Genomic DNA, 21,488 nt, shown 5'->3' on the forward strand with positions numbered 1-21,488 from the left:
TGAGCCACCGCGCCCGGCCTGAAGCTGATAGTTTTTAACATGAGGGGTCCTGGTATAATCAACTCCACAGCTAGAAGGAAGCCGGAGTTTTACCTGGAAAAATGTGCAAGGAAACGTGGCTGGTTCCATCACGGAGATGAAAGAGTTTGTGCAAAATGCAGACAGAGCCATCTCATAAAAGAGCTACAGGGCGAGCTGGGCACGGAGGCTCACACCTGTCATCCCAGCATTTCGGGAGGCCAAGGCGGGCGGATCACGAGGTCAGGAGTTCGAGACCAGCCTGGCCAACATAGCGAAACCCCGTCTCTACTAGAAATACAAAAATTGGCCAGGCGTGGTGGCACGCACCTGTAGTCCCAGCTACTCAGGAGGCTGAGGCAGGAGAATCACTTGAACCCGGGAGACGGAGGTTGCAGAGATCACACCACTGCACTCCAGCCTGGGCAACAGGGCGAGACTCCATCTCAAAAAAAAAAAAAAAAAAAAAAAAAGAAGAGCTACAGGGAGGCAGGGGTCATCCCTGCCCCTGCTCCCACCCCATCCGGTGAAGTCTCCCACTCCACGCCATGAGCCTTGGTTTCCTCATCTGAAGACAGAGCCTCAGAAGAGCTGCCAGGGGTTGCTCTGGGGGTAACTGCAATGCTGGGGTGAGGGGCAATCGGAAACCTGCAGCTGCAACTGTAGGAGTGAGGGAGGCATTCAAATAACAGTCTACTGCATTCTAGAAGATTCCATCCTGGGCTCACTGAATAAGGACTCCCGGCAGGACACGGTGGCTCACGCCTGTAATCCCAGCACTTTGGGAGTCCGAGGCGGGCAGATCACGAGGTCAGGAGATCGAGACCAGCCTGGCCAACGTGGTGAAACCCCATCTCTTTAAATTTTGTAAAAATACAAAAATTAGCTGGGCGTGCTGGCGCATGCCTGTAATCCCAGCTACTCGGGACGCTGAGGCACGAGAATCGCTTGAACCCGGGAGGCAGAGGTTGCAGTGAGCCGAGATTGTGCCACTGCACTCCAGCCTGGGCGACAGAGAAAGACTCCGTCTCAAAAAAAAAAAATAGAGATGGGTTCTCACTATGTTGCCCTAGGCCAGCCTGGGTGGGAGGCCAGGCTGGTCTCGAACTCCTGACCTCAGGTGATGTGCCTGCCTCGGCTCCCAAAATGCTGGGATTACAGGTGTGAGCCACCACTCCCGGCCAAGACCCGCATCTCTAATTTTTTTAAAAAGACTATTTTCCCCGGAATACCTGCTAGATACTCTCCACGCCTTCTGTGTGGTCTTCTTACCTGCTCTTGAGGTAGGAGCCTCTTCTACAGATAAAGCCAACAAACAAAAACGATGCTCAGGCCAAAGAAGAAGATGCAGGCTCTGATAAAGACTGGCAGTGGGGAGGCGGGTGGGAGCCCGGAAACTTCAAGGTGTCACTGAAGCACAAGGTGACATCAGACAGGGAGAAGAAACAGGGGAGCTGGAGCAGGCGGAGATGGTGAAAGCCTGAACCGAGGGCATTCCAGGTGAGGAGAAAAACAAGAGAGAGACCCTGGAGGAGGAGGGAGGGAAATTAACTGAGCTGTGAAAAACCTGCCTGGGGCTGACCGGCTCTTGCACAGGGACGGGCCAGCTCGGGCAGGGACGGGCTTGCTGCCGGGAGGTACCCGTGCAGAAACAAGAAAGGAGCTCCTGCAGGGGCTGGCTAGGGAGCTGGTGGACAGCATCGGCCAGAGGAGCTCAAATCCGCCCTCAGCCCCAGGGGGCCGAGCTGCAAAAGCGACGTCAAATGGACAAAAATCCCACCGGGCACAGAAGTGCGACCAGCAAGTCTATGGGTTTAAAAATAAATGATGGGGCCGGGCGCGGTGGCTCACGCCTGTAATCGCAGCACTTGGAGAGGCTGAAGCCAGGTGGCTCACTTGAGGTCAGGAGTTCGAGACCAGCCTGGCCATTTTTTTTTTTTTTTTTTTGAGATGGAGTCTCACTCTGTCGCCCAGGCTGGAGTGCAATGGTGCGATCTCGGCTCACTGCAAGCTCCTCCTCCTGGGTTCAAGCAATTCTCCTGCCTCAGCCTCGCGAGTAGCTGGGATTACAGGGGTCCGCCACCACGCCCGGATAATTTTTGTATTTTTAGTAGAGACGGGGTTTCACCATGTTGGCCAGGATGGTCTCGATCTCTTGACCTCGTGATCCGCCTGCCTCAGGCTCCCAAAGTGCTGGGATGACAGGCGTGAGCCACCGTGCCCGGCCCGCACCAGTGCTGTTGATGGAGGCCCCAAAGTGGTAGCGACACAAGTGACCCTGGACGGATGCACGGATCAACGTAGCGTGGTCCATACACACCCCGGAGTATGATTCAGCCTTCAACAGCAGGCAATCCTGACACAGGCCACGATGAGGATGCACTTTGAGGACCTCAGTCTCAGTGAGAGAAGCCAGGCACAGAAGGACACATCCTCCGTGATCCACTCCTAAGAGGTTCCCAGAGCCCTCAGATTCACAGAGACGGAAAGTAGGATGGGGGCCGGGCACAGTGGCTCATGCCTGTAATCCCAGCACTTTGGGAGGCCGAGGCGGGTGGATCACCTGAGGTCAGGAGTTCACGACCAGCCTGGCCAACATGGAAAAACCTCGTCTCTACTAAAAATACAAAAATTGGACGGGCGCAGTGGCTCACGCCTGTAATCCCAACACTCTGGGAGGCCGAGGCGGGTGGATCACCTGAGGTCAGGAGTTCAACACCAGCCTGGCCAACATGGAGAAACCTTGTCTCTACTAAAAATACAAAAATTAGACAGGCGTGGCGGCACACGCCTGTAATCCCAGCTACTCAGGAGGCTGACGCAGGAGAATCGCTTGAACCCAGGAGGCAGAGGTTGCAGTGAGCCAAGATCGCACGACTGCACTCCAGCCTGGGTGACAAGAGCGAGACTCTGTCTAAAAAAAAAAAAGAAAGAAAAAAGAAAATAAAGTAGGATGGGAGTGCCAGGGGCTGGGGAGGGGGCTGGGGAGTCTGTGCTTCATGAGGACACAGTTTCAGTTTGGGAAGATGAGAAAGTTCTGGAGGGGACAGTGGTTGGTTAAATGTACCCAAAAAATGGTTAAACGGGGAAATTTTATGTTACATGTAATTTACCACAATGAAAAATGAAGAGAAGGCTGGGTGCAGTGGGTCACACCTGTAATCTCAGCACTTTGGGAGGCCGAGGCTGAAGGATAGCTTGAGCCTAGGGGTTGGAGACCAGCCTGGCCAATATAGCAAGACCCCATCTCTACAAAAAAATTTAAAAATCAGCCGGGCGTGGTGGCATGCACCTGTGGTCCCAGCTACTTGGGAGGTTGAGACAGGAGGATGGCTGGAACCCAGGAGGCAGAGGCTGCAGGGAGCTGTGATCGCACCACTGCACTCCAGCCTGGGTGACAGAGGGAGACCCTGTCTCAAAGTAAAGTAAGGGAAGCAAAACAAAAGAAAGTGAGAGAGGGGAAGCAGCTGAGAGTCAGAGACGGGGGACAGGGTGGGAAGTCACGAGGCCCCGTCCACTGTGTGTCAAACGTCGGATGCCCAGTAACGTCCGTGACCGCCCGGTGTCCTCCTCCCGAGACGAGGGCCTGGTGGGCAGGGGACGGCCTTGAACACCCAGCGACACCCTGCCGTTGTTTGCCCAGTGAAAAGAGGCCACTAAGAAAAGGGCCTTGGCAAAACAAAGGGCCCCATTCACTGTCCCCGCGAGAGGAGGCCTGAGCTCTTTCTCGCCAGAGCTCTCCTGTCCCGGCCCAGTTTCACTTTCCAAGGACACTCCAACCCCACCTCAGCCCCCACCGATATCCTGCTTTCCAACAATCCTCTGCCTTTACCAGACACTTCATCAGAGCGAGAATGTGGACCCAGGGGTGTCATCTTGGTCCCAGAGGCCAGGGGGCAGAAAGTGCCAGCTGTCAGGCAGTTTCCCAGCCGTGTGTGGTCTCTGTCTCAGCATTTTTTTTTTTTTTTGAGACAGAGTCTCACGCTGTCGCCCAGGCTGGAGTGCAGTGGTGCGATCTCAGCTCACTGCAACCTCCGCCACCCGCGTTCAAGCGATTCTCCTGCCTCAGCCTCCCGAGTAGCTGGGATTACAGGCACCCGCCACCACGCCTGGCTAATTCTTGTATTTTTAGTAGAGACGGGGTTTCACCACATTGGCCAGGCTGGTCTCCAACTACTGGCCTCAGGTGATCCACCCACCTCGGCCTCCCAAAGTGCTGGGATTATAGGCGTGAGCCACCGTACCCGGCCTCCCCCCTCCTTTTTAAAAATGTTGCATCTCAGGCAAAGCTGCGCTCAACACCCCGGCCCGGTGCCTGCTTGCTTCAGTCTCCAGCACTGGGATCCCGGCCAATCCCCGCAACACATTCGGGACCGGCAGGACGCATATGTCTCCAATCAGAAGGGAGATGTCTCTCCTGAGCTCTCTTCAGTGTTTGCCGCCAAGATGGGGAAGACGACGAGTTTCCAACACCCTGAAACGATCCCAAGGAGCGGAGCCTTTGTAGGGTGGGGTCAAAAGAGACTTTACTTACTTTTTTTCTTTCTTTTTTTTTTTTTTTTGAGACAGAGTCTCGCTCTCTCGCCCAGGGTGGAGTACAGTGGCACGATCTCGGCTCACTGCAAGCTCTGCCTCCCAGGTTCACACCATTCCCCTGCCTCAGCCTCCTGAGTAGCTGGGACTACAGGCGCCCGCCACCACATCCAGCTAACTTTTTGTATTTTTTAGTAGAGACGGGGTTTCACCGTGTTAGCCAGGATGGTCTCGATCTCCTGACCTCGTGATCCGCCCGCCTCGGCCTCCCAAAGTGCTGGGATTACAGGCGTGAGCCACCGCGCCTGGCCACTTTTTTTCTTTTTTTTTTTTTTGAGACAAGGTCTGGCTCTGTCACCCACACTGGAGTGCAGGGGCATGATCTTGGCTCACTGCAGCCTCAACTTCCTGGGCTCAAGCGACCCTCCTGCCTCGGACTCCCGAGTAGCTGGGATTACAGGCATGCGCCACTATACTCAGTTAATTTTTTTCTCTTTTTTGTAGAGATGGTGTCTTACTATGTTGTCCAGGCTGGTCTCAAGCTCCTGGGCTCAAGCAATCCTCTCATCTTGGCCTCCCAAAGTGCTGGGGTTAGGCTGGGCATGGTGGCTCACACCTGTAATGCCAGCACTTTGGGAGGCCGAGGCGGGTGGATCACCTGAGGTCAGGAGTTCGAGACCAGCCTGGCCAACATGGAGAAACCCTGCCTCTACTAAAAATACAAAATTAGCCAGGCATGGTGGCCCATGCCTGTAATCCCAGCTAGTTGGGAGGTTGAGGTAGGAGAATCGCTTGAGCCCGGGAGGCAGAGGTTGCGGTGAGCCGAGATCGCACCATTGCACTCCAGCCTGGGCAACAAGAGTGAAACTCCATCTCAAAAAACAAACAAACAAAAAAAAGTGCTGGCATGACAGGAGTAAGCCACCAGCCTGGCCAAGAAGTTTAAATCATGATGCCGGGCGCGGTGGCTCACGCCTGTAATTCCAGCACTTTGGGAGGCCGAGGCAGGCAGATCACATGGTCAGGAGTTCGAGACCAGCCTGGCCAACACGGCGAAACCCCATCTCTACTAAAAATACAAAAAATTAGCCGGGCAAGGTGGCACGCACCTGTAATCCCAACTATTTGGGAGGCTGAGGCAGGAGAATCAGTTGAACCTGAGTGAGCTGAGATCGTGCCACTGTACTCCAACCTGGGCAACAAGAACAAAACTCTGCCTCCAGATAAAATAGCCGGGCGCGGTGGCTCACGCCTGTAATCCCAGCACTTTGGGAGGCCGAGCTGGGCAGATCACAAGGTCAGGAGATCGAGACTATCCTGGCTAACACGGTGAAACCCCGTCCCTACTAAAAATAACAAAAAATTAGCCGGGCATGGTGGCGGGTGCCTGTAGTCCCAGTTACTCGGGAGGCTGAGGCAGGAGAATGGTGTAAACCCAGGAGGTGGAGCTTGCAGTGAGCCAAGATCGCGCCACTGCACTCCAGCCTGGGCGACAGAGCGAGACTCCGTCTCAACAAAAGAAAAAAGAAATCATGATGCAAAGATGAAAAGCAAAGTTTGCCGTACGAAGGATGGAGTCGGTGTCAGTGCTCTGGGGAAGTGGGGAGTTCCCTCAGCAAGAATGACCTCAGAGTAGCTGGTAGGTGGGCTAAGGCCACCTGGGCTGGGAGAACCAGGTTAACAGCACCAGTAGGAAGTCACCAGGGTCTCAAGGATCCCCAGCAGGGAGAGAGCAACAGGGCACCTCACCCCTACGTGTTCTTTCCCGAAACCCGTAACCCCGGTCTGATCACGAGAGAAATATCTGACAAACCTAGATCAGAAGTAAGTCTGCACAATACCCAGCCGGTCCCCCTAAGACCGTCCAGGTCACGAGAGGTAACGAACATCTAAGACATGGTCCCAACCTGGAAGAACCCCCGGAGACGAGCCGGCTAAATGTCACGTGGGATTCTAGATGGGTCCTGGGGCAGGAAAGGACATTAGGGGAAGATTAATGACATTTGAATAAAGTGTGGAGTTGAGAGAAATGAACCCATTGTTAGCCGGGCACAGTGGCTCCCGTCTGTCCTCCTAACACTTTGGGAGTCCGGGGTGGCAGGATCACTTGTGTTCAGGAGTTCGAGACCAGCCTAGGCAAAATAGCGAGACCTCATCTCTACAATAAAACAAAAATTAGCCAGGCACGGGGTTGCGTGCCTGTGGTCCCAGCTACTCAGGAGGCTGAGGTGGGAGGATCGCTTGAGCCCAGGAGTTGGAGGCTACAGTGAGCCATGATCACTCCACTGCACTTAGCCTGGGCGACAGAGTAAGACTCTGTCTCAAAAAAAAATGTAAATGTAAATTTAAAAAATATTACTTTTAATGGCAAAGACCACAATTATGTTTGCCCCAACATAATAAATACATACAATAAATAAATAAATAAGAAAAAAATAAACAAAAATAAAAATAATGCAAAAAAAAAGGGGGAAAAAAATGCCAATCATACTATGCATGGCACCGTGTTATAGGGGAAAAAAAATAATTATATAAAATTGTTCCCAAATCATTAAGCCCTTCTCATTATGGAGGCTACAGGAATAAACGCTCCTAACAAGACCACATTTGGGCCGGGCTCGGTGGGCCTCCCAGCACTTTGGGAGGCCAAGGCGGGTGGATCACCTGAGGTCAGAAGTTCGAGACCAGCCTGGCCATCATGGTGAAACCCCGTCTCTACTAAAAATACAAAAAATAGCCGGGTGTGGTGGTGGACGCCTGTAATCCCAGCTACTCAGGAGGCTAAGGCAGGAGGATCACTTGAACCTGGGAGGCGGAGGCTGCAGTGAGCTGAGATGGCGCCATTGCACTCCAGCCTGGGCTACAGAGTGAGACTCCAACTCAAAAAAAAAAAAAAAAAAAAAAAAAAACCATATTCGATGCAATTCTCTGAAGTTAACTGTTAGAGCTCTGACAACACAGAGGCTGAAATGACATGACAAATGCTAAAGTACAAAGTTCCAAGATCAAGTCCCAGCATGACCACTAACTCGTGAAACCTCCAGACCTCAGTTTTCCCATGCATAAAGCGTGCGAGATGGACTCGAGGGCCAACACGCTTTTTCGGTAAGAGTCCAGATACCCAGTGTTTTCAGCCTTGCGGTGGAGCCACTCTCTACGGCAACGACTTAACTACACCATGGTAGCAGAATACACAGAGCAGTGTGCCAATAAAACATTATTTCTGGACACTAAAATCTGAATGCCATATAATTGTCATGTGTCATGGCCTTTTCTTTGACTTTTGTTTTTTGCTTCTTTTGGCGGCGGGTAGAAGCAGGGCTTCCTTTGACTTTTTTTTCCAACCATTTAAAAATGGAGGCCGGGCACGGTGGCTCACGTCTGTAATCCCAGCACTTTGGGAGGCCGAAGCGAAAGGATCACTTGAGGTCAGGAGTTCGAGACCAGCCTGGCCAACATGGTGAAACCCCATCTCTACTAAAAATACAAAAATTAGCCGAGTGTGGTGTCAGGCGCTTGTAATCCCAGCTACCCGGGAGGCTGAGGCAGGAGAATGGCCTGAACCGGGAGGCAGAGTTTGCAGTGAGCCGAGATCACACCACTGCACTCCAACCTAGGTGACAGAACGAGATTCTGTCTCAAAAAATAAAATAAAATAAAAATAAAAATGGGATAATCATTCTTAGCCCAGGGGCCATATATAAAACCAGGCTGTGGGCCAGAGGTGGCCCAAGGGCGGTGGTTACTGACTCCTGGACTGGACGTGCTCCAAGCCCCTTCCTCAGCTGCCTTTCTAAGATTCTCTGATTACAAATCCATGTGAGTTTTTCTATTTCAACCTGTTGGCTCAGGTCTTTTTTTTTTTCTTCTTGAGACAGGGTCTTGCTCTGTCGCCCAGGCTGGAGTGCAGTGGCACAATCTTGGCTCACTGCAGCCTCCACCTCCCAGATTCAAGCAATACTCCCACCTCAGCCTCCTGAGTATCTGGGGTTACAGGCACGCACCACCACGCCCAACTAAGCTTTGTATTGTTAATAAAGACGGGGTTTCACCATGTTGGCCAGGCTGGTCTCGAACTTCTGACCTCAAGTTATCCACCCACCTCAGACTCCCAAACTGCTGGGATTACAGGTGCGAGCCACCGCGCCCGGCCAGGGCAGTGAAACTATAGGATACCACAATGGTGGACACGTATCCTTACACCCTTCTCCAAACCCGTAGAATCTTCAACACCAAGAGTAAACTCCAATAGAGACTGGGGACTCTGGGTGACAATGATGTGTCAACGTGGGTTCATCCATTGTGATTATAACGAATGTACCACTGTGGTACGGGGTGCTGGTAATGGGGGAGGCTGTGCCTGTGGGTTGCAGGGAGGTGTATGGGAACTTTCTGTTCTTACCGCTCGATTTTGCTGTAAACCTAAAATAGCTCTAAAAAAATAAAGTCTATTTAAAAACCCAACTGTATCTTTGTACTTTAATGCAATAAAAGAATCATAAAATCATTAGAAATGGTTTCGGCCTGGCTCAGTAACGCATATCCGTAATCCCAGCACTTTGGGAGGACGGGACCAGAGGATTGCTTGAGCTCAGGAGTTTGAGACCAACCTGGGCAACATGGCGAGACCCCATCTCTACTAAAAATGGAAAAATTAGCCAGTCGTGGTGTTACATGCTTATAGTCCCAGCTACTCAGGAGGCTGAGGTGGGAGAATCACTTGAGCCTGGGAGGCGGAGGTTGCAGTGAACCAAGATTGCATCACTACACTCCGGCCTGGGCAACAGAGCAAGACTCTGTCTCAAAAAAAATAAAAATTAAAAAAATAATAATAAAAGGAAAAGAGCCGGGCGTGGTGGCTCACGCCTGTAATCCCAGCACTTTGGGAAGCCGAGGTGGAAGGATCACCTGAGGTCAGGAGTTCGAGACCAGCCTGGCCAACATGGTGAAACCCCGTTTCTACTAAAAATACCAAAATTAGCTGGGCGTGGTGGCACACGCCTGTAATCCCAGCTACTCGGGAGGCTGAGGCAGGAGAATTGCTTGAACCCGGGAGGCGGAGGTTGCAGTGAGCTGAGATCATGCCACCGCACTCCAGCCTGGGCAGCAGAGCAAGATTGCATCTCAAAAAAAAAAAAAAAAAGAGGAGGGAAATTTCCACGGACACCCGGGGAGAAGGCCTTTTGTGATGACAGAGGCAGAAATTGGATCAATGAGGCCATAAGCCAAGGACTCCTGGAGCCCCCAGGGGGTGGGGGAGGCAGTACGCCTCCTTCCCTGGAGCCTCTAGAAGGAGCGCAGCCCTGCTCACACCGTGACTTCAGACTCCTGGTCTCCAGAACCATGAGACAATACATTTCTGTTATTTTACCACCCGGTCTGTGGTCATTCATGACGGCGGCAGCCCCAGGCTCCTCCTACAACTGGGTACTGCCAAGGCCAGCGAAGTCCAGGCCTTACTTTCCGACCACATTGAAGCCACAGCCGTCTCTGTGCCCAGCAGACTCTGCCAGGACATCTGCATTTGAACTTGGCTGGATTCACCTCTTTTCTTTGATTCCTCCTGGCTTTGTTGTCCATCAAGTTAGGGAGTTTTTTAAGAAGGCCAGGGGAGGCCGGGCGCGGTGGCTCACGCCTGTAATCCCAGCACTTTGGGAGGCCGAGGTAGGCAGATCATGAGGTCAGGAGATCGAGACCATCCTGGCTAACACGGTGAAACCCCATCTCTACTAAAAATACAAAAAATCAGCCGGGTGTGGTGGCGGGCGTCTGTAGTCCCAGCTACTCGGGAGGCTGAGGCAGGAGAATGGCGTGAACCCGGGAGGTGGAGCTTGCAGTGAGCCGAGATCGCGCCACTGCACTCCAGCCTGGGCGACAGAGTGAGACTCCATCTCGAAAAAAAAAAAAAAGAAGGCCAGGGGCAGCAGTCTTGGGCTTGTCAACAAAGGTCAAATGAACAATGAAGTCCGACGTGGTGGCTCACACCTGTAATTCTAGAATGTGGGCCGGCTGCGGTGGGCGAATCACTTGAGCCCAGGAGTTCAAGACCAGCCTGGACAACACAGCAAGACCCGGTCTCTACAAAAGATACAAAAATTAGCCAGGTGTGGTGGTACATGCTTGTGGTCTTGGCCATCTGGGAGGCTGAGGCAGGAGGATCACTTGAACCTGGGAGTTCAAGGCTGCAGTGAGCTGCGATTGTGCCACTGCACTCCAGCCTGGGTAACGGAGTAAGCCCCTATCTCATTAAAAAGAAAAGTAGATGTTCAGCCAGGCACAGTGGTTCATGTCTGTAATCCCAACACTTTGGGAGTCTGAAGTGGGTGGATCACTTGAGCTCAGGGGTTCAAGACCAGCCTGGGCAACATAGTGAGACTCCATCTCTACAAAAAATTAGCCGGATATGGTGACATGTGCCTGTAGTCCCAGCTACTCTGGAGGCTGAGGCAGGAGGATCGCTTGAGCCCAGGAGTTTGAGACCAGTCTAGGCAACATAGCAATATCCTATCTTTACAAAAAAAAAAAATTAGCTGGGCATAGTGATCTCTGCCTGTATTCCCAGCTACTCAGGAGGTCGAGGTGGGAGGATTGCTTGAGCCAGGGAGGTGGAGGTTGCAGTGAGCCAAGATCACACCACTGTACTCCAGCCTGGGTGACAGAGCGAGACTCTGCCTCAAAAAAAAAAAAAAAGAAAGAAAGAAAAAAAGAAAGAAAAGAAAAGCAGACTTTCAACTAATTAACATACATCAAAGGTAGTCTTTTTCTACTTTACCATCTTCCAAAGAGTAACTGTACAGAAACTCCAAAAAGGTAGCCATTTCTGCAAACCAGGGTCTCTCCCCTGGGCACTGTGGACATCGGAGCTCTGGACTATTCTCTGGGGTGCGGCCATCCTGGGCACTGCAGGGCGCTGAGCAGTGTCCATGGCATCCACCCACTCCATGCCAGGAGCAGCCCCGGTTGTGACAGCCACAAATGTCCCCAGACGTTGCTCAGTGTCCCCTGAAGGCCAGAATCACCCCCAGGGACAAGCTCTGATTTAGGGCATGGCTGGACATGAGACAGAGACAGCACCAGATAAATGCGTCAAGGGTTAAAGAATGAACGCCCACATTCTACCCACAACCCCCCCAAGTCTCTAATCAAATGCCGCCTCCTCTTGGAGGCTCTCAGAGGTCGAGGTCCCTGTCTTCATTTTGTAAACCCATCACTCGACACAATATCAGACACTTAATATTGTGTTGTGAACGTTAATAAATGTCTGTAAAATAAATGACTCTGACCTTGAAACGGCAATGTCTCTATGCCTAAGAAATCTTGGTTGTTTGAGGATAAAATTATCTTCCTTTCTCTCTCTGGGGTTGGGCTACATTTGAGATTGTAAGGCTGGGTAAGCACAGGGGATTTGGGTCAGAAATGTCAAGGCTATCTGGAATTGGTGACACTATTTTTGGAGGAATCTACATTTTGGGGAGATTTTTTTGTTGCTTTTTTTTGGGGGGGGGCAGGGAATAGCACTTAACTAGTTCAACCATAGTTTTTAGGGGAAAAAAAAAAGTTTTAGTTGAAAGGATCTGTTCTACCATAGCCTGGTATAGAGCAGTGGTTCTCAACCCCAGATGACTGTGGACAATGTCTGGGGACATCGGTGGCTGTCACAACTCAGAGATGCTCCTGGCGTGGAGTGGGTGGAGCCCAGAGACGCTGCTCAGCACCCTGCAGTGCCCAGGACGGCCCCACCCCAGAGAACAATCCGGTCCCCCCTATCTGCAGTACTAAGAGGGAGCCCCTACATTATTTGGGAAAAAAATCAAGTCTGCTTCCTGATCACACTAGACACCAGAATAAACTCCCAATGGGGCAGACAGTGTAAATCAGGGGGACCCCCAGCTTCTGGGGCTCACCTCCTCTCTCCCTCCCCACTCAGGGTGTGGATTTCAATGTGTGCAGCCTCCTGGGACCTCAGCAGGGCAGAGGATCATGGGACGCGGAGTCTCTTGGAGTCCGTGGACTCCCCTAGCCCAGGTGTGATCTGCTCCCTGAGGGACACTGGGCTATGTCTGGGGACATCTGTGGTTGTCACAACTGGAGGTGCTCCTGGCGTGGAGTGGGTGGAGGCCAGGGACGCTGCTCGGCACCTCAGGACCTGCAGTGCCCAGGACAGCCCTGCCCCAGAAAATGACCCTACTCAGGCCATCACAGGGTAGGGTTGAACTCGAGCTCAGGAGTTCGAGACCAGCCTAGGCAATACAGGGGGACCTCCACGTTTACAAAAAAAAGTTTTAATTAGCTGGGCATGGTGGCGTGCATCTGTAGTCCCAGCTACTCTGGGAGGCTGAGGTGGGAGGATTGCTTGAGCCCGGAGTTTGAGGCTGCAGTGAGCCAGGCTGAGAAAATGTGTGGTGAGTGGCATGGGGAGACCTAGCGCCCTCTGTGTACCCACCAAGATGGGCCAGTCTCCACCAATCCGTTCCCTGGCAAACTTGTATTCTACTCAAAGCTTCCTCGTGGCCTCCTGTCTGGACCTTCCGCAGCCCCCTCTCTACCCCCCTGGACGACTTCTTATCACCCCTGCACCTATTCAGCTCCTAGAACACACAGGCCCGAGGCCCCCACCTCTGTGCCACCCTGGGCTCAGGCCCCTCTGACCCAGACTGCCATCTCCACGGCCCCCACACCAGCACACAGATGCCTCATTCACGTGGTGCTCCCAGGGCCTGGCACCAGTTCTGAGGCTTAAAATAGGCACACAACGGGCCTTTGTCGGATAGAGGAAGGAAGGAAGGAGCGTTTCAGACAAAGGAGACAGCAACAGCAGCGTCCAGGAAACCCAGGGGCACCGGGGAGGTGGATGGAGCCAAGTGGGGGTGGGGTACTTGAAGGGTCAGAGGGCAGGGCCAGGCCATGCAGGACCCTGAAGACCCCATGAGGAACTGGGGTGCCATCATGTGGGTGCTGACTTGATAGGAGGCAGGGAAGTGACCGTCTGATCAGTGCCCAGGAAGCTTACTAGGAAGGTCCTGCTGGAGCTGGAGAAACCAGAGGCTGATTCGTCACCTCGGAGTCTCCCGCCAGGGATGATGAGGCTCTCGGCTCAAGAGGGAGCACTGAGATGGGAAAGAAAGCAGACAGAAGGGGCCGGGCATGGGGGCTCACGCCTGTAATCCCAGCACTTTGGGAGGCCGAGGCGGGCAGATCACCTGAGGTCAGGAGTTCGAGACCAGCCTGGGCAACATGGTGAAACCCTGTTTCTACTAAACATAAAAATTATCTGGGTGTGGTGGTGCATGCCTGTAATCCCAGCTACTCGGGAGGCTGAGGCAGGAGAATCACTGGAACCTGGGAGGTGGAGGTTGCAGTGAGCCGAGATTGCACCACTGCACTCCAGCCCGGGAGACAGAGCAAGACTCCGTCAAAAAAAAAGAAAAGAGAGAAAGAGAGAGAGGAGAGAGAGGGGAGAGAGGGGAGAGAGGGAAGAGAGGAGAGAGAGGAGAGAGAGAAAGAAAAAGAAAAAAGAAAGAAAGAGAAGGAGAGAAAGAAAAAGAGAGAGAGAGAAAGAAAGAAAGAAAGAAAGAAAGAAAGAAAGAAAGAAAGAAAGAAAGAAAGAAAAGAAAGAAAAGAAAGAAAGAAAGGAAAGGAAGGGAAGAAAGAAAGGAAAGACGAAGGAAGAAGGAAGGAAGGAAGGAAAGAAAGAAAGAAAGAGAAAGAAAGAACCACTAAACAAACATCCCAAGCTTCAGTGCAGTGGACTGCCTGTGCCCAGGAAAAAGCCATTTACATCCCAGCACTGTGCTCCATTGCCCAAAGGCAAAAGCGGCCGAGCGTGTGTTGCTGAATGGATGGATGAGCACAGCCCGGCCTGTCCACGCACCGGAACACGACTCAGCCCTGAAAAGGGTCGAGGCTCTGACGCAGGCCACAGCACGGATGCACCTTGAGCATGTCACACGCAGTGAGAGACACCAGACACAAAAGGCCACACAGTGTGTGACCCATTTCTTTGAAATGTCTAGGACAGGCCAGTCCAGAGACAGGAGGGAGAGGCGTGGGTGCCAGGGCTGGGGGAGGGGGTGGAGAGTCCCCCTCATGGGGACAAAAGATTTTACTAGGTGATGGAATGTTTTTTTGTTTGTTTGTTTTTTGAGACAGAGTCTCGCTCTGTTGCCCAGGCTGGAGTGCAGTGCTCACCGCAACCTCCGCCTCCCAGGTTCAAGCGATTCTCCTGCCTCAGCCTCCTGAGTAGCTGGGATTACAGGCGCCCGGCTAATTTTTGTATTTTTACTAGCGACAGGGTTTCGCCATGTTGGCCAGACTGGTCTCGAACTCCTGACCTCAACTGATCCACCTGCTTCGGCCTCCCAAAATGCTGGGATCACAGGAATGTTCTGAAAGGGGCTTATAGGGATGTTTGCACAGCTGATAAACTTATTTAAAAGATGGAATTGCATCCTTAAAAGGTCTGAATGTTATGAAGTGTAAATTATACCTCAATTTTTGTCATAAAAAGCAGTAAGACTTTTCCTTTTGCGAGGTTCAAGTAACTGTTCGTGGAAGCGTCTCGGAGCTGCCCACGAACCCCACCGCCCATCCGTGTCAGGAGCCGATGTGGGGGAGCAACCACACAGAGAGAGCGTGGCCCACTCACGCCGCAGGATGGGGGAGGAGGAGGACAGGAGTGACCCCTCGGGGGCCGCTGTGTGACTGAGGATGGGTCAGCCCATCTCCTTAGCTCTCACACTCATCGGTAGGGTCTCCTGGGTGACGTAAACCATGAACACTTTTCTCTAACCCTTAAGAGACAGAGGCCAGGCCAAAGAGTGCATGTATAAAAAGCAGTGACAAGTGAAGTCAAGAAATGTCAACGAGCGGGGAGAGGCGCCCGACATCAACAAGGACGCAGAATTGCAGAAATCAGCCGTGAAAGGACACAGCGGCCGGGCGCGGTGGCTCACGCCTGTCACCCCAGCACTTTGGGAGGCTGAGGTGGGTGGATGACCTAAGGTCAGGAGTTCGAGGCCAGCCTGGCCAACATGGTGAGGGCCCCGTCCCCCCCCCCGCCCGTCTCTACTAAAAATACAAAAATTAGCCGGGCGTGGTGGCACATGCCTGTAATGGAAGCTACTCGGGAGGCTGGGGCAGGAGAATCGCTTGAACCCGGGAGGCGGAGGTTGCAATGAGACAAGATGGCGCCACTGCACTCCAGCCTGGGCAATGAACGAGACCACATCTCAAAAACAAAAGACAGGCCGGGTGCGGGGGCTCATGCTTATAATCCCAGCACTTTGGGAGGTCGAGGCAGGTGGATCACCAGAGGTCAGGAGTTCCAGACCAGCCTGGCTAACATGGTGAAACTCCGTCTCTACTAAAAATACAAAAATTAGCTGGGTGTGGTGGTGGGTGCCTGTAGTCCCAGCTACTCGGGAGGCTGAGGCAGGAGAATGGCTTGAACCCAGGAGGCAGAGGTTGCAGTGAGCCGAGATCGCACCACTGTACTCCAGCCCGGGCAACGGAATGAGACCATGTCTCAAAAAAAAAAGGACAGGCCGGGCGCGGTGGCTCACGCCTGTAATCCCAACACTTTGGGAGGCCGAGGTAGGTGGATCACCTGAGGTCAGGAGTTTGAGACCAGCCTGGGCAATATGGTGAAACCCCGTCTCTACTAAAAATATAAAAATTAGCCGGGTGCAGTGGTGTACGCCCATAATCCCAGCTACTCGAGAGGATGAGGCAGAAGAATTGCTTGAGCCCTGGAGGCGGAGGTTGCAGTGAGCCAAGATTGCACCATTGCACTCCAGCCTTGGTGACAGAGAAAGACTGTGTTTCAAAAAAGAAAAAAAAAAGAAAGAAAAGAAAAAAAGAAAGCACCAGCTCCCAAGCCTATAGAGACCAGGCACGACCTTCCTGTAAGAAACCATGAAGCATCTTCAAAAATACAAATGACTCTGGATACGATTTTAAAGACCATCGCTGCTTCCAGATGGAACTGAAAAAATCCGAATAACACCTTGAATGAAGAAAGGAGTGTTTTCCACTACTATCGGTGAACAAGAAAAATGCCTCCATTCAGTAAACACGAAGCTGAATTGTCTACACGTGAGGGTAATTTGTGTTTAGTTCTCTTTGCCTTCAAACAGTGGGGCCCCAGGGTTTACGAAGCATGAAACAAGAACAGAAAATAACGGTATCGGTCAAAGGATGTTTTCTAAATAAAGCTCCTCTGTAAGATCGAGACGCACCTGCAGAATTTGAGCTTCGTTGGAAGCTTCACGTTCCAGGTTAAAACCAAGAAAGCACATTGCAAACATTGTCATCTTCCAATGCTTGCAACTGACAACTTCAGGCCATCTTCTAAATCAGTACTAAGTGTTCAAAAGCCACATAAAAGGCCCACCTAGAAAGGAGTAGCCTTTTTTTTTTTTTTTTTTTGAGACAGAGTCTCACTCTGTGGCCCAGGCTGGAGTGCAGTGGTGCAATCTCAGCTCACTGCAACCTCTGCCTCCTGGGTTCAGGTGATTCTCCTGCCTCAGCCCCCCAAGTAGCTGGGATTACAGGCGTGTGCTACCACGCCCAGTTAGTTTTTGTATTTTTAGTACAGATGGGGTTTCACCATGTTGGCCAGGATGGTCTTGAATTCCTGACCTCAAGTGATCCACCCACTTCGGCCTCCCAAAGTGCTGAGATTACAGGCGTGAGCCACCGCACCCAGCCATAAGTAGGCATTTCTAATGTTTTCTAAAAGCAGTGAGACCTTACTTCTCCCCTCTCCGAATGACAGCACTAAATGACTTAAAAGCAATCCTCAATTCTGAATGACCCCACTTCCTGCACATCAAAGGGGAGATGAGGTCGTTAAAGGAGAAAATAAATCAGTTTTGTCTATAACAAGGGTTCCACACTGGAGTATCTCTGTCCCTACAGGACGCTGGGTGATATCCGGAGACATCTGTGGTTGTCACAATGCGGGGAGCTCCTGGTGTGGAGTGGGTGGAGGTCAGGGATGCTGCTCGGCACCCTGCAGTGCCCAGAAGGCCCCACCCCAGAGGACAATCAGATCCCAAATGTCCGCAGCGCTGGGATAGAGAGACCCAGACGCACCCCATGAACTGAAGTTGTAAACTCAAAATTTCAAGCGTATAATCACAGCTCGATGTGGTTCCTTACGGGGTGCCCCTAATCAGAATGACCCAGGCAGCCTTCTCTTGAACAGGTGCATCTGTTACTTAACGAGCTTTGAGACTCTCCTGCCACCAGGTGTGGGCAAAGTCTTCTTTCTTTTCAGTTTTTTACTCACTTTTAATAATATGGAAACAGGCTCCATATTTGAGACTCTGTCTCAACATAATAATAATAATAACAATAATAATAAGACATATTTTTGTTGTTGTTGCAGTCCTTTTTTTTTTTTTCCTTTATTTTTTTGAGGCAGAGTCTCTCTCTGTTGCCCAGGCTGGAGTGCAATGGCGTGATCTTGGCTCACTGCAACCTCCACCTCCTGGGTTCAAGCGATTCTCCTGCTTCAGCCTCCCAAGTAGCTGGGATTACAGGCAAACGCCACTATGCCCAGCTAATTTTTGATATTTTTAGTAGAGACAGGTTTTCGCTATATTGGCCAGGCTGGTCTCAAACTCCTGACCTCAGGTGATCCACCCGCCTCGGCCTCCCAAAGCGCGGGGATTACAGGCATGAGCCACCACAACCAGCCATGCAGGTTATTTTTTAAAGCTTCTGGGGGTGACCCTGATGTGTGCTCCTAAGGTTGCAGGACTAGAGTCAAGTTCCAGTCACTTCCTTTCCTCTCCTCTGTGACAACCCAGTCATCCCACTCCTCCATCTCCAAACCCACCAAAGAAAAAAACTGGATTGAGTCCATTATTCTCCATGCTTCAGGTACCCTCACTATATGCTAGGAAATAGTCCATGCATACATCCCGTAATTCGACCCTGAGAGGCACATGCTACTGTTTTTATTATTCCCGCTTTGCAGGGGAGTAAACAACACCTCCAAAAGATGATACAGCCAAATCCGCAGCGAGAGGCTGGGTCGGAACACACACAGGCGCACCTCCCAGAGGCCCCCGACACTCCATCAAGGCAAGATCGCAGCATCCCACGACGGGAACAAGTTTGTGAACTTGGCATTTGCCTCGCTGACACCTAGCAACCGTGTGAAGACGCTTAGCTGGGGATCCGCTGCCTCTGTTCATCAAGCCTGTCTTCCACCGCCCACCTCCCAACCCCTAGCAACCCCCGCTCCCCAGGAAAAATAAAGTGCCACCCACGTCGCTCAATAGCACCGTCCCAAAAACTCCCACTTTAGTTCCTGAAAAATTCAGTCACCGACAGGAGCCTTTCTCCTTCCTGAAGCGTTCTCCTTGGCACCCTATATCCTAGAAATAAACCTCAAAAAGTATTCCGAACTCCCGTCTCCTTCAACTCACTGTTCCCCAGGGGGTTCTGCCCCGTGCCCAGTTCTAGAGCAAACAATTAACATCTCCCCCAAAAGTAGAGGGGTGAGTCCTCTCCAAATTCCTTTTAACTGGATCCTACCTGAGACACCTCCCCACACCCCGTTTTCCTCCTGATTAGTCAATGTCTAGCAAAACACCTGCCCCCAGGTGTCTCCAGCCTGGGACCTTACCCCCACCTCCCTTCTCACTAACTCACCCCAACTTCCTTCTCCCTGAACCCCCTTCCACCCCACACACTCACAAGCTCCCCATTTCCCCTGATAGCCCCCAGACCCTTTCTGGAACAAGCCTGACCCCCACCTGTATGCTCCAGCCACTCCCTGGCTCACCCCAGCTTTGTCCTTCTGCCCCTTTTCAGCTAACCCTAACCCCTGGGCCGTCAATCACACCCCCCCATCTTCACCAACCCCATTCCTCAGTCCTCTCCCCAGACAACCTCAACATCTAATTCCCTCTGCAGCCCCCTCTCCAATGAACCCCACTTCAAACTCCATCCCCAGCCCCCTCTCCAGCTCCCTGCAAACCTCAACCCCACTCCCAGCTCCCTCTTCAAAGAAGCTGCACCCTTGACTCAACCCCTGTTCCCCGCTCCAATTAACCTCAACCCCCAACACCATCCCCAGCGTCCTCCCCAGCTAACTCAGATTTCCAATTCCACTTCCAGCCCCCTCCCCAGCTAACCTCGACCTACAATTCCAGCCCCCTCCCCAGCTAGCTTGGACCTCCAATCCCACTCCAAGCCCCCTCGGCAGCTAACCTCGACCTGCGACTCTAGCCCCCTCCCCAGCAAACTCAAGACCTCCAATTCCACCACCAGCCCCTTCCTAGCTAACCTGGACCTGCAATTCCAGACCCCTCCCCAGCCAACTCAGACCTCCAATCCCGCTCCAAGCTCCCTCCCCAGCTAACCTCGACCTGCAACTCCAGTCCCCTCCCCAGATAACTCAGACCTCCAGTCTCACCCCCAGCCCCCTCCTCAGCTAACTCAGACCTCCAATCCCACCTCCAGCCCCCTCCCCAGCTAACCTGGACCTGCAACTCCAGCCTCCTCCCCAGCTGGCCCTGATTTCTAAGTGGAGTCCCAATGCCCAGACCCAATCCTTCCCCAGCTAACCTCGATCTGCACCCCCTGCCCCGTCCCCAGCTAACCTCGACCTGCAACTCCCGCCCCCTCCCCAGCTAGCCCTGAGCCCCAAGTGCAGTCCCAATCCCCAACCCCAGCCCCTCCCCAGCTAACTTCGACCCCCTAAGCGCAGCCCCGTCCCCAATTCCAACCCCAGCCTCCAGTTGCAGCCCGGGTCCCCAGACCCAGCCCCCCTCCTCAGCCGACTCCGACCCCCAACTCGGTCCGCAGCCGAATCCGAGCTGTCCCAGTCCCCTCTCCGGGACGCCGGCCGCGCCCTCACTTCCCCTGGCCCGGTTCGCGGGCGCCCTTACCTGCGCTCGGGCCCCGCGGCCGCCTCAGCCCCGCCGCGCAGCCGAACCCTCCGCCCCGGCCCGCGAGCGCTCGCTCCCCTCTGCGGGGGCGGGGCCGACACTCGGGGGGCGGGCCCTGGCGTCCCGGCAAGGCCAATCGCGAGCCCCGGCTGCGGGAGGCCGGAGCGGGGGCGGGGCGCGGGGCAGGCAGCGGGGTAGGCTGCGCCCAGGAGAGTGGGGCGGGGCTCCGGGCGCGGGCGGGGCCGGGGGCGGGGCGAAGAGCGGCTTTCCAGGGTGACTTCGTGACGTCAGGAAGGCGCGAGTAGTTTCGCGAGTTCGAATCCCGCGCTAGGTGAGCTGGTTCGAATCCTGCATGCCAGCTCCGGGGGCTCATTTGCTGGGGAAGAATGTCAGTGATCATAACTGCTGCACCGCTTTCTTGAAGACTTTATAGGCTCCCTCTCGTGGGACCCTCCGCATAAGGCCAGAAGGCGAGATTACTATCCACATTTTACAGAGGTGGAAACTGGGTCTCAGAAAGGTGAAACCTAAGGTCATTTGCCCAAGCCTGTCTCATCATTTCCAAGATTTCTCAGTTTCCTAACTCATGGCCCTGGATCCACAAATTCCTGAGCCCCAACACAGATGGAATGAACCAGAATCCTATAGGGAACTGGACCCTGAAATCTGTGTTTTGTTTAGTTTTCGTTTTGTTTTTGAGACAGGGTATCACTCAATTGCCGTGGCTGGACTGCAGTGGTGCAGTCATAGCTCACTGCAGCTTTGAAGTCCCAGGCTCAAGCAGTCCTTCCACCTCAGCCTTCCGGGTAGCTGGGGCCACAGGCACGCACCACCACATCCAGCTAATTTTTGTATTATTAGTAGAGACAGGGTTTCACCGTTTTGGCCAGGCTGGTCTCCAACTCCTGACCTCAGGTGATCCACCTTTCTTGGCCTCCCATAGTGCTGGGATTACAGGCGTGAGCCACCGTGCCTGGCCCTGGCTAATTTTTTTTTGTTAGAGATGGGGTCTTGCTATGTTGCCCAAACTGG

General features: G+C 52.9%; 1 protein-coding gene across 2 annotated transcripts in view, besides 2 other annotated features; it reads right to left on the reverse strand.

Annotated features, from left to right (window-relative positions):
• Positions 1 to 20,505, reverse strand: part of GNG7 (G protein subunit gamma 7) — a 191,476-nt gene extending 170,971 nt beyond the window's left edge. Inside the window, exons 1-2 of one of the 2 annotated variants that reach the window (XM_047438629.1) lie at positions 20,457 to 20,505; positions 1,291 to 1,544 (exon numbers count right to left, since the gene is read on the reverse strand). The gene's annotated coding sequence lies outside the window, so the exon portion shown is untranslated. The remainder of the gene's footprint in view (positions 1 to 1,290; positions 1,545 to 20,456) is intronic. The other variant, NM_052847.3, reaches the window with a different exon arrangement.
• Positions 16,374 to 16,493: an enhancer, noted in NCBI's record as "active region_13713". NCBI's record gives its function as "activates an Ori minimal core promoter by ATAC-STARR-seq in GM12878 lymphoblastoid cells {active_cell/tissue: GM12878}" and the evidence as "EXISTENCE:reporter gene assay evidence [ECO:0000049][PMID:35858748]".
• Positions 20,401 to 20,790: a silencer, noted in NCBI's record as "silent region_9804". NCBI's record gives its function as "represses an Ori minimal core promoter by ATAC-STARR-seq in GM12878 lymphoblastoid cells {active_cell/tissue: GM12878}" and the evidence as "EXISTENCE:reporter gene assay evidence [ECO:0000049][PMID:35858748]".

Source organism: Homo sapiens, chromosome 19 (assembly GCF_000001405.40).
Source record: "Homo sapiens chromosome 19, GRCh38.p14 Primary Assembly".
NCBI lineage: Eukaryota > Metazoa > Chordata > Mammalia > Primates > Hominidae > Homo > Homo sapiens.